The sequence below is a fragment of the Homo sapiens genome, chromosome 10 (genome assembly GCF_000001405.40).
Source record: "Homo sapiens chromosome 10, GRCh38.p14 Primary Assembly".
NCBI classification, from domain to species: Eukaryota; Metazoa; Chordata; class Mammalia; order Primates; family Hominidae; genus Homo; species Homo sapiens.
Window position 1 is genome coordinate 62,678,653 of NC_000010.11, and position 14,582 is coordinate 62,693,234.

The window sequence follows — 14,582 nt, forward strand, 5'->3', positions numbered from 1 at the left end:
CCACGACCTTGGAACATGGGGTTCCTTTGTCTGAGTCCCCTCCTCTTGCTCCAGTCACCAGCTAACTCATGCTGTCTCTCAGGTCTCAGATGAAATGCAGCTTCCTCTAGGGAGTCCAGGCCTTTCCACTGTTTGTGCTTCTAGACCCTACTTTGTTCCTTCATTGCATTTAACATAATTATGATGAATTAATTGGCCATGTAATTACTTATCTAATGATGATGTTCCCTACTAGACTATTAGCTTCATGAGGGCAGTGTCTTTGACTCCATTTTTCACTATGCTATCCCCAGAACCTAGCCAGAGCACTTCGTAAGAGTTCCTAAAATCTTTTCCATAAGGTTTTCAATTTACTTTGTCTTGATCCATCAGAGGAATCACTATATATGGCAGCTATAGCCTTATGAAATAGATTTCTTAACTAATAAGGCTTGAGAGTCAAAATTTTTCCTTGATCCATGGGCTGCAGAATGGATGCTGTATTATCACAGATGAAAACAACATTCATCTCCTTGGACTTTTCCATCATAGCTGTTGGGTGACCAGGTGCATTGTCAATGAGCAGTAATATTTTGAAAGGAATCTTTATTTCTGAGCAGTAGGACTCAATAGTGGGCTTCAAATAGTCAGTAAACCATGCTGTAAACAGATGTGTCGTCATCCAGGTTTTGTTGTTCCATTTATAGAGCACAGGCAGAGTAGATTTAGTATAATTCTTAACAGTCCTAAAATTTTCGGAATGGTAAATAAGCTTTGCTTCAACTTAAAGTCACCAGCTACATTAGCCCCTAACAGGAGAGTCAACTTGTCCTTTGAAGCTTTGAAGCTAGGCATTGACTTATCCTTTGTAGCCATAACAGTCCTACTTGTCATCCTCTTCCAATCTAAGGCTATTTTGTGTACATTGAAAAGATGTTGGTAAGTGAAGCCACTTTTATTAATGATCTCAGCTAGCTCTTCTGGATAACTTCCTGCAGCTTCTATATCAGCACTTGTTGCTTCACCTTGCACATTTATGTTATGGAGGTGGCTTCTTTCCTTAAAACCTCATGAACCAACCTCTGCTGGCTTCCAACTCTTCTTCTGCAGCTTTCTTACCTCTCTCAGCCTTTGCAGAATTAAAGAGAGTTAGGACATTGCTCTGGATTAGGCTTTGGTTTAAGGAAATGTTGGGGCTGGTCTGATCTTCTATCCAGAGCATTAAAACTTTGTCCATATCAGCGATAAGGATGTCTTGCTTTCTTATCACTGAAATGTTCACTAGAGAAGAACTTTTAATTTCCTCCAAGAACTTTTCATTTGCATTGGTGACCTGGCTAACTGGCACAAGAGGCCTAGCTTTTTGTTTATCTTGGTTTTCAACATGCCTTCCTCACTAAGCTTAATCATTTCTAGCTTTTGATTTCAAGTGAGAGACACACATTTCCTTTCACTTCAACACTCAGAGGCTATTATATGGCTAGTAATTAGCCAAATTTCAATATTTTTGTGTTTCAGGAAATAGGGAGGCCCAAAGAGAGAAAGATAGGTAGGAAAACTGCCAGTCAGTGGAGCAGTCAGAACACGCACCATATTTATCGATTAAGTTCACCATTTTATATGGGCATGATTTGCAGTGATCCAAAGCACTTATAATAGTAACATAGTGATATAAAAGATCACTGATCACAGATCACCATAACATATAATAATAATAATGAAAAGTTTGAAGTGTTGTGAGAATTACCAAAATGTGACACAGAGACATGAAGTGAGCTCATGTAGTTGGAAAAAAATGATGCCAGTAGGCTTGCTTGTTGCAGGGTTGCCACAAATCTCCAATTTGTTAAAAAACACAATATCTATAAAGCACAGTAAGGCAAAGTGCAATAAAACAGGGTATGCCTGCATGTGAATCAGAGGTAGAAGATACTTGGCCGGTTGCAGTAGCTCACGCCTGTAATCCCAGCACTTTGGGAGGCCAAGGTGGGCAGATCACTTGAGGACAGGAGTTGCAGACCAGCCTGGAAAATGTGGTGAAACTTTGTCTCTACTAAAAATACAAAACTTAGCCAGGCATGGGTGGTGCAAACCTGTAATCCAAGCTACTCGGGAGACTGAGGTAGAATCACTCGAACCCAGAAGGTGGAGGTTGCAATAAGCCGAGATCGCACCAGTGCACTCCAGCCTGGGCAACACAGCGATACTGTCTCAAAAAACCCTAAAAAGCAAAACCAAAAACAAACAAAAAATAAGAGATGAAGATTCTATTTCCAAGGTTGCCGCAAACTTTGTGATCTTGGGCACAGAGAAGCTGTGAATTCTAAAGTCCCTTTGAATTCTAAATTCTGCAACTCTGTGCATTGGGCAGTGGACAGAATGTGAACTTTGACATCAGAAAAACCTACTTTCAAAAATGTGCCTCACTGCTTTCTAGCTGATGGGTCTTATAGTTAAACTTTCTGATTTTAATTTCCTCATCAATAAAATTGGGCTAATAATATCTTCCTTGCTGTATTAGTATGAGAATTAATGCTAACACGTTGGACAATTCTTGGCATCAATTAAGGACAGCACTGGTGGTTCCCATGCTGGCCCTGCTGGTGGCCCAGCAGCAACTTCCTTCCATTGCCCATGTAAGCCAGTCTCACTATAGGAAATCTACACACACATTCACCACCAAGTAATGCCTCAGACACCCTCACACTCTTGAACTTTCCTATGACTATGATACATGCTTTTCAATCTATCTTAAGGTGACCTTCACTTGCACGGAAAGTCTGAAAATGTACAGTCAGAGTTGCGTAACTGTGAGGTTGGCCTATAAAGGAAGGAGCTTTTCTCTTCTTCCTTTAATTTTTTTTTTTTCATTCACTTGAGGCATTCCCCTTGTGGGCGTGTGATCTCCCCAATGGCAGCAATAGCTCAGGCAGCCACAACCACAGCCCTCAGCCCGCTGCAAGTGAGAGCGCAGAGCACCTGGCCTCCTACAGCCCGGAGCTCCAGCAGTTCCATCTGCTGGCCGCCAGAGCAAAGGCTCAAGGACCTCTAGGCTTGCCCTGAACAATGCACAGGGGGCAGCTGTCACTCCCTGGAGCAAACTTACTCTGGGGGAACCTCTGGTCAAATTCCAACAGTTGAGAATTCCAGAGATGCCAGGAGAGCCGAAGCAGTCAAATGACCCTCCACTCATCAGCACACACACTTATCTGTGGTCCAGGTAGGAAAGTGAAATGTTATCATCTGAGTGCACATCATGACACAGGAACCAGAAGACCATTTCAGAAATAGATTGATTCAGTCTTGTTACTCTGTGCATATACATATAAAACAAGAGCCACAGAAACAGGCTGCTTTCTGCCTGGTAGTCTTTAACTCTGGTCACACTTTAACATCACCAGGAAAGAAAAATAGGCAAAAAGACATGGTCAAATCTTACAATAGCCAACCCTTACATCAAGTTTACCCTGTGTCAGGCACTATGTAAGTACTTAGACTGCAAAACCCCAAAGAGTAGCTAATGACACTATCCTCATGTTACACATGAGAAATGGGAGTACTGAAGGGTTAAATAACTTGCTCAAGATCACATAGCTCATGAGGGGCAAAGACAGAGTTTGAATCCACCTAACAGTCTGATTTCAGACATCAAGCTCTAAACCACTGTGTTTCACAAAAGAAAAATTACAAAGAACTGAAAAACATATGAAAAGATGCTTAACCTCACCAGGGACCAAGAGAAGGCGTGGCAAAAAAAGACATGCTCAAATACTTGTAGAGTGTACATCAGCCCTTTTAGAAAGGTGATTTGTGAGTGTCTACCAAATGTAAACTATGAATTCGCCCTGGTCCAGGATTCCACTTCCAGTAATCTATGCTGCTGGAATACTCAAAAGCTTTGTGTACAAGGATGCCCACAGATGGCAATATCTTTGCAAAACCCTCTAGCCATCTCTGTATGTGACTCATGGTAAAGTACCTGGCTCTTCTTAGGTGCTCCAGAACTGCTTGCAAGAATATGCAACCAATAAATATTTATTTATCTAAATAATGATGTGTTGTCCAAGTACTTCAGTAATGCTACTAACAATTCAATAGTGAAAGTGTGATCACACCAAGCTTGGCAAAACTAAAAGGAACCACAAAAAGGCTCTTCTGTTCCAGGCTCTGTGGGGGAGGAAGATGGCCCCACTTGCTGCATTATCTGGGTCCCCCACTGGGGGGTCTGATGGAGTGCAGCCAATGGATGACACCAGCAGATGAGAGGGTAGGAGTGAGAGATGGAGTGTTCAGTCTCTGAAGCCCTTGAGTGTGCCATCTTTATTTGCCAAGACCCTAAGTCATTTGGTCTCATACTTTCATCCAGTGTACATCTGTGGAGGACCTATGGGGGTTACAAGCATGAGGAAGTCAGTCCCTTCCACCTGTCAGCTCAGGGGAGCAGCTATTCCATGGGCCCATGCAGGACCTTTTCTTTCAAATTCAGTGGGGGCTTTGCTCTTTCCTAAGTGACAATGAATTCAGATGGCAACACTTGGTTAACTTAGTTTTTGTTCAGGTGTCTGTCTCAGATAAATCTAAACCCAGTTAAAACCTCTCTATCTCTAGAAATCTCTTAAGAACTTCATCTCACAGGGCAAGTGCAGTGAGTTCAAAGAGGCTAAGGGGGAGTGAAGTGGAAGCAAACCTGCTTCTCCTTGAGTGTCCCCACCTCAGGGAAGGATACTTCCAACCATCTGGTCCCAAAACTGGAGCCCCAGAATCTCTCACTTTACCTCTCTAAACCTCTCTCTGGTCTATCCCCTCCCATGCATCTTCATTTCTACCACCTTGGTCCAGGCTCTTACCTTTTCTTGTTTGCAGTGGTCATAAGGAGTGGACTGTGACCTCATCTCTGCATTCCAGTCTGGCACAGTGTCTGGCATAAAGTGGGCCCTCGGAAAAGGTTGGTTGCATGAATCAAAGCCTGTCACTGTAGCCTCCCACCTTCCTTCCTTCCCCAGTCTATTGCCCACCGGACATGGTGAGATCTTTCTAAATCAGAGATATAGTTACATCATTACTTAAAGTCCTTCAATGTTTCCACCATGGCTTTTAGCCAGGGCTTGCCAACCTTTGTCTATAAAGAAACAAATAGTAGATATTTCAGGCTTTGTGGGCCCTACAGTTAGTTTCTATTGCAACTACTCAACTCTGTTGTTATTGTGTGAAAGCAGCCGTAGATGGTATATAATCAATGAGCTCAGCTGTGTTCCAATAAAACTTGATTCACAAAAACAGGCAGCAGGCTGAATTGGCCCAAGGGCCACAGTTTGCCACTCCTGCTCTAACAAGTATGTCCAAGCCTGTTGATGTGGCATCACAACCTGGATTCAGCCAGCCTGAGTCCTGACACTCCTATTTCACACTTTGCTCACCATCAATGCCACTTTTCTTCCAACCCTTCCCATGTGCTGTGTATTTTCAGGTATCTGTGACTTTACATTTGCTGTTCTCTTCTAGAATCCCTTCCGTCATCTATATGCCTATGAAACATTTATCTTACAAAGCCCCTTGCTTTGAAGGCTTCCCAACTACTCCCCCACTCCTGCTCCCAGAGACTAACCTCACCCTCTTTTTGTTGCCTTTGCACCTGCTTCCATTATTAGAGTTCCACCTAACTCAATCTTGTCATTACTTGTTGACATGTCTGTATCCAATTATGGAAGGGACAGGCCTGTTACAGAGCTGCTTAGGAAATGTCTGCTGATTGAGTTGAGATCAAGGTGCCCAGTTCTTGCCTGTTGCCCAAACATAACTATTTAGTGCCCCTTTTCACTCTCAGAAGCAACCCTATGGAAATGATAAATTATGTAGTTGCCCTACCTTTCTGCACTTTTGTATGGGTGGCTACCTGCTTAGCCTATGTGTGGGATCACAAGAGAAGGGTTCAGGATCTCCCTTCCCAGTGTTTACTCCCTTTCCTGTGTCAGCCAGCAGATAGGTGTCCCTGGTCTCCCCAGGCCCAGCACAGAACAGCTGCAGGCCAGGGCAGAGAGGTTGCCAATGCAGGTCCAGTTTTCTGTCTCCACTCAGCCCAATGAGATAGAGTCAATCAAGACACTGAGCACAGTAAGACTTGCAAGGAGGGTACAATCCCATGGTGACCAGTTAACTCTGCCCTATTCTATGACCACAGGATAACTCTAACTAAAGCCAGGGCAGGGGGGAGAAAGCAACGGGACGCCATGATCAGTGCGGGAAATCCTCAAAGCCCAGGCCCAAAGAGGGTCGGGCCACTTGTGGGGCCTTTATGCACAGAGAGAAAGTATCTCATTAGAGTGACCGTCCCTCTTCAACAGTAATAAGAGTAGCTCCTGGAAAAGGTGCTCAGGAGAAAGAAAGAGAAACACCAAATGACTTTTTCCCCCTACGCCTCCTCCACTTGTTTGACAAGCAGCCTGGTTGCCCTAGCCTCTTTCCTGAACTTCCTCTCTCCACCCCCGCATTTCAGACATGTCCATCTCTGTTCCCTGGGCCCCTCACAGGAATACGAAATTGTTACCCAGAAGTGGGGCTGTATAAGAAGCCCTTGCTTCTTTGAAAGCAGTCCCAAATCCGGGAGTGGTTCCCATAACTCTTGCAGCTCAGAAGTCAGAGCAAAAGGCAACTGAATGCATTTGCCAAAAAAGTCTCTTTCTGCATGTGAATCCCGAGTGCTATCTATATGGCAATCTTCACAAAACCGCCCTCCTGAAAGGTCAGCCTTATTATTTTCAAGAGAATTGAGCTCATTCTGACCCCAGGGTTCTAACTCGTGACCTTGAATCTATGCTCCTGTCTTTTTGTTTAATAAGTCTTTTGAGTAGCTTTTGAATAATTCCCACCCCAACTCCAGCTGCATTTAATTCTCCCAAATAGACATGCATCCAGAATTGTGTATAAGGCAATGCCCTGCTTTAAAAAAAAAAAAAAGCCAATAAACAAAAATTCAAGCTTAGGAAACAAAGGAATCACTAGCAGACATTCAGAAGGATTCTTCGCATGATGAGGACTCAACCACAATTTCTTTACAAACTGAAAGTGCTCCTTCACAAATGAACACTTAAATTCAGGAGCACTTTCAGTTAAAGCAAAGGAGTTAAAGCAAAGACTTTGGGAGTCAGTATCAAATAAAGATCATCTCTCAAACTATAACAGAAGGAAAACAGGAATTAATTTATTTCAGACTTTTTAGAAACGCCCTCCTCTTTGACTTACATTACATAGAACACAGGTATATGCTTGATATAAAACCAAAAAATAAAATAAAGCTCAACACCAAACCATTTGGTGGCAAAAAGCTGTGCATTCTGAAACTTTAGCAAATTGGTGACTTATTGTCCACCATGCACAAAATACTCCATAAATTTAGAAGAGAGGACCTTACCTGAACAAGGCATGCTTCCCGCTTTCAGAGAGCTATCCATCTGGAGGAGAGACAAGAGAAATATATGAATAATTTACATAAAACCAAAAATGAGCTATGTGATCTTGGGCAATTTATGTAACCTCATTAAATCAGCTTTCTCATCTTTAAAATAAAAAGTACTATCACAGGATCTCCATGAGGATGAACTGAGATGATGCAAGTGAAGGGCATAGTACAGTGGAGGGAAGAGCTAGGACATCATTCCATATTAGCTGTACTGCTCTTAGTGGCTCTTATCATCATCTGTATTTCCCTTACATAGTCATTAGAGAAAGCGGAAAGAAGAGATTATTCTACTCAGTAGAATCAAGAAACAATGGATGGAGGAGGTAGAATCTGAGCTAGATCTTAGAGGATAGGTGGGATTTTGGGAGAGGAGATGGGGTTCAGGAGGGGTAGCCCGTGATAAGGATGTGAGTCAGGTTCAGCATGAGGAACAGTGGAGCCTAGGTCCTAGAGGCTGTGGACAGATTTGGCTGGCATGAAGGATATCTTTTTTTTTTTTTTTGAGACAGGGTCTTGCTCTGTTGCCCAGGCAGGAGTGCAGGGGCACAATCTTGGCTCACTGCAGCCTCGACCTCCCAGGCTCAAGCAATTCTCCCACCTCAGCTTCCCTAGTAGCTGGGACTACAGGCGGCCACCACCACACCTGGCTAATTTTTGTGTTTTTTATAGAGACAGGGTTTCACCATGTTGCCCTGGCTGGTTTTGAACTCCTGAGCACAAGCAATCTGCCTGTCTTGACCTCCCAAAGTGCTGGGATTACAGGTGTGAGCCACCACGCCTGGCTGGCATGAAGGATATCTAACAGGGAGAAAAAAAGAGGCAAGGCTGGAAACAGAGACTGAGATAAAATTTTGAAAGAAGTTTAACCTTCCCAAATGAGATATTTGAATGTTACCCTATTGGCAATAGGGAGCAGCCAAAGGTGTTTGAGGAGAGGAGTAATATGCTGTAAGTTATATTTCAGATACATTCTTCTGGTAGCAGTGTACCAAATGGACAGCAATAGAGAACCCAGCCAGGCTCTATTTTAATGGCCTGGGTAAGAGACAGTGAGGGCCTAAACAAGCCAAAAAGTCTATAGAAAACAAATGAACAGGATAGATGGCCAAAACACTTTGAAGGAAGATCAGCTGGCCTAATTCAAAGGAGAAGGAGAGAACTGAGTCCTCTTTTGGTGATTTAAAGACCTTTGAACTTGGGTACAGATACCATTTTAAAAGTTAGAAAATGCAAGAAAAGGAACCAGTTCAGGTACAGGAGAAAAACCATCTGTTGCTATAGTGTGTGAGGTTAAGGCTTCCACTGGCACAAGGCCTTGGATAGAAATGAATCCTTCTGTTTCCTCCTCTGTGAAATGGAGATATCTGGGTGTACTCCATAACTTCTACAGTTAGCCTTACTGATTTCTAAGTATGAGCTTCTCAGGGGCTAAAGTCTCTTTACTCATGATTCATGGTGATTTGGGGAGTGGATGTATGACTCACCCCTGTGTACTTATTTAGATACATTACTACTTACCCAGGCAGCCTTGAATAGACTTGCAAAGTCAAATATGGGCCCAATATTCTAATACCTGAAAAGAGAGATGGGTTTTGTCTGTTTTCTAAACATCAGTTCCTTTGGCATACAAAATTCCAATAGTAGTTATTGAAACCCTATAGTTTCTTGTCAACTTGGATGAAAATTATAGTACTTTATCAGTCAGGATACAGTCAGGAAAATAAACAATACTGGGTATTCTAACAGAGAAAATATAATATAGGGATTTGGTGAAATAGACAATGGAGGACTGAAAAAGCAAAATAAACACACTGAGCTAACACCAAGGTAGTAAGTTCAGGAAGTATCCACCACCACCCAGGAGAAGCAACAAGAAATTGGAGTTATCAGAACCTACAAGCTCAGTGGGGGGCCCTATGGAGCTGAGATGCCAGCCTCCATGGAAGCACTGCCCAGCTCATGCTGCTCTCTGAGGGCCCGCATTAAAGTTGGCTCTGCAAGTGCCAGAAGAAGGTGAACTGAACCTACTGCCACTGCTGGGGTGAAGGGCCATTGCTTGCAGAAGAAGAGCAAGTCCCCTGTCCCCTCTCCCTGTCCCCTCTTGTAATAACCTAACCTGAAGCCACTAACAAAGAAGAAATATAGTTTGCAGGCCAGGCACGGTGGCTCACACCTGTAATCCCAACACTTTTGGAGGCTGAGGGGACAAATCACAAGGTCAGGAGTTCAAGATCAGACTGGCCAACATAGTGAAACCCTGTCTCTACTAAAAATACAAAAAATTAGCCAGGCATGATGGCAGGTGCCTGTAGTCCCAGCTACTTGGGAGGCTGAGGCAGGAGAATCTCTTGAACCCAGGAAGCAGAGTTTGCAGTGAGCCACGATTGCACCATTGCACTCCAGCCCAGGTGACAGTGTGAGACTCTGTCTCAAAAAAATATATATATATAGTTTGCAGAGTCCCAGGATCACACAACAAAGAAAGCAGAGAAGGGTGGATTTGGAGCTGGAAACCAATAACTTAGTAACTGACATGAGGACTTTTACATAGCACATGACTTGAGAAATATCAGATTGCTAGGTTATTTTCTGAACAAGACACCACAAAATATAAAAACTCTTTCAGATAATGGAGTACAGACTAGAAATATTAAACTACTCTCCCATAAGCCTCAAAAGAAAAAAAGCAAATGGATACTTTGTGGTGTGAAAGTGCTTATGGTAATGTATAGAGATCAAGGTGGACATACCCTGACATGACCTGCCCCCTCAGAGATTTATACCCTCATCTAATCCCACCCCCTTGAGTGTAGCCAAGACCTGAGAATTGCTTTTAACCAATAGAATATGGCAAAGATAATGGGATATTGCTCCCTTGATTATGTTATAAAATTCAGTCTTAGCCAGCTGGAGTGAGAAAGAGTCTCCCGCCAGGCTTGAAGAAGCAAATATCCATGCTGGACTGGCCAGTGGCCTCTAGGACCTGAGAGTGGTTTCCAGCCAACTGCCAGTAAGAGGCAGGGGGCCTTGGTCATACAGCCTCAGGGAAATGAATTCTTCCAACAGTTTGAATGAGCTCAGAAGCAGATCCTCCCCTAGAGCCTCCAGATAAGATCACAGCCCAGGCCAACACCTGATGGCAGCCTCCTGAGCAAACTCTCAGCAAAAGGCCCAGCTAGCCTGTGCATAGACTCCTGACCCAGTGAAACTGTGGGATGGTAAACCAACATAGGAATAATGCTTATTTCTCTATTTTCCATCTATAGTCAACATTGACTTCTTATTGAGCATCTACCATGGGCTAGATACTTCTAGTCTTCAAGAAGCCAGTTTAGTAGGAAAAACAAACAAGTAACCAGAGCACTCCAGCCTAGTGTGATGTGTTCAGGATGTAGGTGAGCCCGGGGGACTGCAGGAGCCTGGAGGAGGGCAGCCTGGCCAGAGCAGGGGCCTGGGGGAGCCTTCAAAGGAGGAGGTCTTAGTTAAAGGAAGATTAACTAGTTAACTAGGGAAGGGGGCTTTAGGCAGAGGTCCAGATAATTAGATTGTTCTTGATTGCTGATCATTTTTCTCCAACTTCAGTATATGTAACAGAAATCAGAAAGAAAGAATTCAATACAAGTTCTTCCTTAAATTGTTTTTCTTCCATCAGATTTACACTCATATTACAGTATTCAATTGAAAATCCAAAATCCAGAAGAGCCTAAAAAAATGTGTGCTTGAGCTTAGATGTGTCTCCTGATAGAGATTAGATTAGTGATTGTTTGTCTTAATAAACGGCACTTCCTCTTGAAACTGTGCCCAAAACAACCTTAAAAAGTTCCGATTTCATGAAACGTGTCACTTCCTCTCCACTCACAGCCCCCATTTTCCTTCCTTCCCCTGGGTCTCACTTTTTTTTTTTTTTAATGTAATGCTTTCGTGTTTGTAATAATACCCCTCCTTGGCAGGCTATATGATATAACTCCCATTTTTCTGGGGAGAGTTTTGTGATGCAGCGAGTTTTGATCTCAGCCAAGGTCACAGAGAGGGTCAGAAACAACAGAGCCGAGATTCGATCCCTCACCCCAGGAGCCTCAGGAGGGGCCCCACAGCCGTTTTCTTGTCATCATCTGAACTTGGAACAGCCTCCCACCCACATCCAGCCTTCCCCGGCACCTCCTTCCCTTCCCATCGCTTCACAGAGCAGTTATTCAGGGTCTGCATGTATGAGCAGCTCAGCCATGTTGCATGACCTACTTTGGCATTTTCACACTGCTTGGAGAAACTTTAGGGCAAAACCATGATAGTGGAGAGAAGCCTCCCTCCCAGCCACACCTGGCTCAGTTTGGACCTGCTTGCCCTGAACAAAGGAACAGAGGACAGAGTGGATGAAAAGACAAAGGGGAGGAGTGAGGTGATCACAGCTGGCCTTCAGCAATGCCAAAGTGACCGGTGCAGGAAATCCTTGAATGTTTGGGCAGGGACATAAGGCACCTGTCTATTTCACATCTGCTAATCAATTCCTTATCAAGTCATCATGGAGCCTGTTTGGGGAAGAACCCTGTCTTCTGTGAGTTTTCTAAAGCACCCTGTCCTCTTCCCACAAGGGCAATATAATTAGTAACATCAAACACTGCAGGCTACCATCTCCTGTAAGGTGGGCTATGAACTTTTCAGAGGGCGTGAAGAGCTACCACTCCTATTTCAAATAAAGCTAATGCCAAAGAACCCACATTTAAAGCTCGAAAACAGCAGCTACGTACCCACCACCACCCACAGATCTAGTGATAGAGATTTTTTTTCTGGCTTGGCCTATTATTTATTTAGAATCAGAACTGATTTCTATCTGGATGATGTAGTCATTTAGGTTGACATCTGAAAGCATCCAACAATAGAGTCCCCTCCCTCTTAAGAAGAACCAGTGAGGTACTACAACAGTGACCTCTGTGGCTGAGGGTGGGATTGTGCCAAATCCAGGAAGGCTCATGCATTGACCATTAATCACCTACCTCCCCCAACCTTGCTGAGATCTTGCTCAGACCAGGAATCCCTAAATTGGAGGTTCCAAAACAGGGGCAGAAACAAAAGTGCTGGTTCCTTCCCAGGCAGCGAGGGCTCATTTCTGTTGGAGCCCTGGGCCTGGACACTCCTCCAGCCATTGGTATTGTCTTTGAAGCCAACTTTATGATTTCACACTTGGTCTGGTTTACCTTTTAATGTCCTAAGTGGAAATCTTGGGAAGAGTGATTGGAGGAGTACATGGGTAGAGGAAGAAGAAAATTGAAACTCTCTTTAAAAAAATACAATTGAATTAAGAATTTAGTATTACATTTTAACATAACAAGCACTAAGAGAAAAGTTTCCTTAAAGAATAGACTTTTGCTGTATGTCAATTAGTGCGCCCGTTCTTGTAGGTTTTCTCTGCTGCCTCAGAGCCAAATCTTCAGCCTCCCACACAGATCTGTGAAATCAATTGTCTTCCCCAAACATGTGGTAACCACAGAGAAGTAAAATTAATAAAACTGCTCCAAAAGATGATTTCTAAAGATGACATTCCTACTTTCGCTTTAAGCTTTCTTTCCTGAGGCCAAGTAGGGGCCTGAAGTGGGAACAGGAGGGGTTTGGTGAGAATTTGGGACCCGTTTTTTTAATATTTAAGTTTTAGAGTTTCAGTTTCACTTAGTTGTTTCGGGAGGGAAGGAGAGCAGGGAGAAGTTAAAGGTGTAAGGAGGAGGCCAAAAAAAAAAAAAAAAAGGTAAAGAAAAGCCAATCAAGTTAGGACTGTCACACCTGACAAACATGCATGTCATCCCAAGGCGGTCTGGGATCCACTCAACAACCCCACACACGCCTTCATTTGGTTGCCCGCCTCCCCCACCTGGGTTGAAGGCTACCACTGACGGTGGCATGTCTGACATACCGAACCTGCCACCCAGTGATGTTCCTCAGGAGCAGGCCCCACTCAGCCCAGCCCTGACAATGGTAGCTTAAGACAGGCAGAGGCCATCAGTCTCCATTACGAAGACAAGGTTTTCCTCCCATATTATCCTGTCTGTCATGTCCTCCTTAGACTCCAAAGGCACGGCTGTCTCATACATCATCATCATTTTCTCTCCACAAAGATGGAGAGCCCCAGGGAGGGGTCCTTTTTCTCAGCGTCCTGCCATGGATGGCCAAGGGCCTTCCCTCAGTGACAGAAGCAATGCTGAGCTGCCAGGGGAGACATTTGCATCCCTATTAGGCCCGGGGCTTTGAAGGTGGGGGAGGAGGGACCTGCCAGCCAGTTTGTAAATCAGAAGCTTAAACAAACTTCCACAGTCTCTGGAGGCCTGGAGAGCACTCCTGTGATACCAAGAGTGGAAGGAGAGGGAAAAAACAAAACAAAACAAAACAAAAACCTCAAACGTAGAGCTCCGGAACATACATGCGCTTAGTTTTGGCAGAGAAAAAGATACACTTAGTCTTGGCAGATACACAATCTTGTCACTGAAAATTGGAATATTGTTAATAGCAGTTATATTAAATTAAGCATTGGGTGCATAATTTTACTGAATTCTCACAACAGTATTGTTTTACATTTATAGGACATGTTTCAGGAGACAAAATTAAGGCTCACATGACTAGCCAGAATTAGAAGAAACCTATTTGTCTGACTCTAGGCTGGGCACAGTGGCTCATGCCTGTAATCCCAGCACTTTGGGAGGCTGAGGTGGGCGGATCACTTGAGGTCAGGAGTTTGAGACCAGCCTGGCCAACATCTCTACTAAAAATACAAAAACAAAACAAAAAAAAATTATCCAGGCCTGATAGTGTACCCTTGTAGTCCCAGCTACTCAGGAGGCTGAGGTGGGAGAATTGTTTGAATCCAGGGGGCAGAGGTTGCAGAGATTGTGCCACTGCACTCTAGCCTGGGTGACAAAGCAAGAAGAAAGAAAACAAGAAAGAAAGAAAGAAAGAAAGAAAGAAAGAAAGAAAGAAAGAAAGAAAGAAAGAAAGAAAGAAAGAAAGAAAGAAGGAAGGAAGGAAGGAAGGAAGGAAGGAAGGAAGGAAGAAAGAAAGAAAGAAAAGAAAGAAAGAAAGAGAGAAGGAGGGAGGGAGGGAGGGAAAGAAGGAAGGAAGGAAGGAAGGAAGGAAGGAAGGAAGGAAGGAAGGAAGGAAGGGAAGG

General features: G+C 43.8%; 2 annotated features.

Moving 5' to 3' along the window:
* Positions 2,733–2,912: an enhancer, noted in NCBI's record as "active region_3428". NCBI's record gives its function as "activates an Ori minimal core promoter by ATAC-STARR-seq in GM12878 lymphoblastoid cells {active_cell/tissue: GM12878}" and the evidence as "EXISTENCE:reporter gene assay evidence [ECO:0000049][PMID:35858748]".
* Positions 12,671–12,840: an enhancer, noted in NCBI's record as "experimental_13731 CRE fragment used in MPRA reporter constructs". NCBI's record gives its function as "activates a minimal promoter by MPRAs in K562 erythroleukemia cells, with activity observed for the non-introgressed 10:64451168 variant allele {active_cell/tissue: K562}" and the evidence as "EXISTENCE:reporter gene assay evidence [ECO:0000049][PMID:34662402]".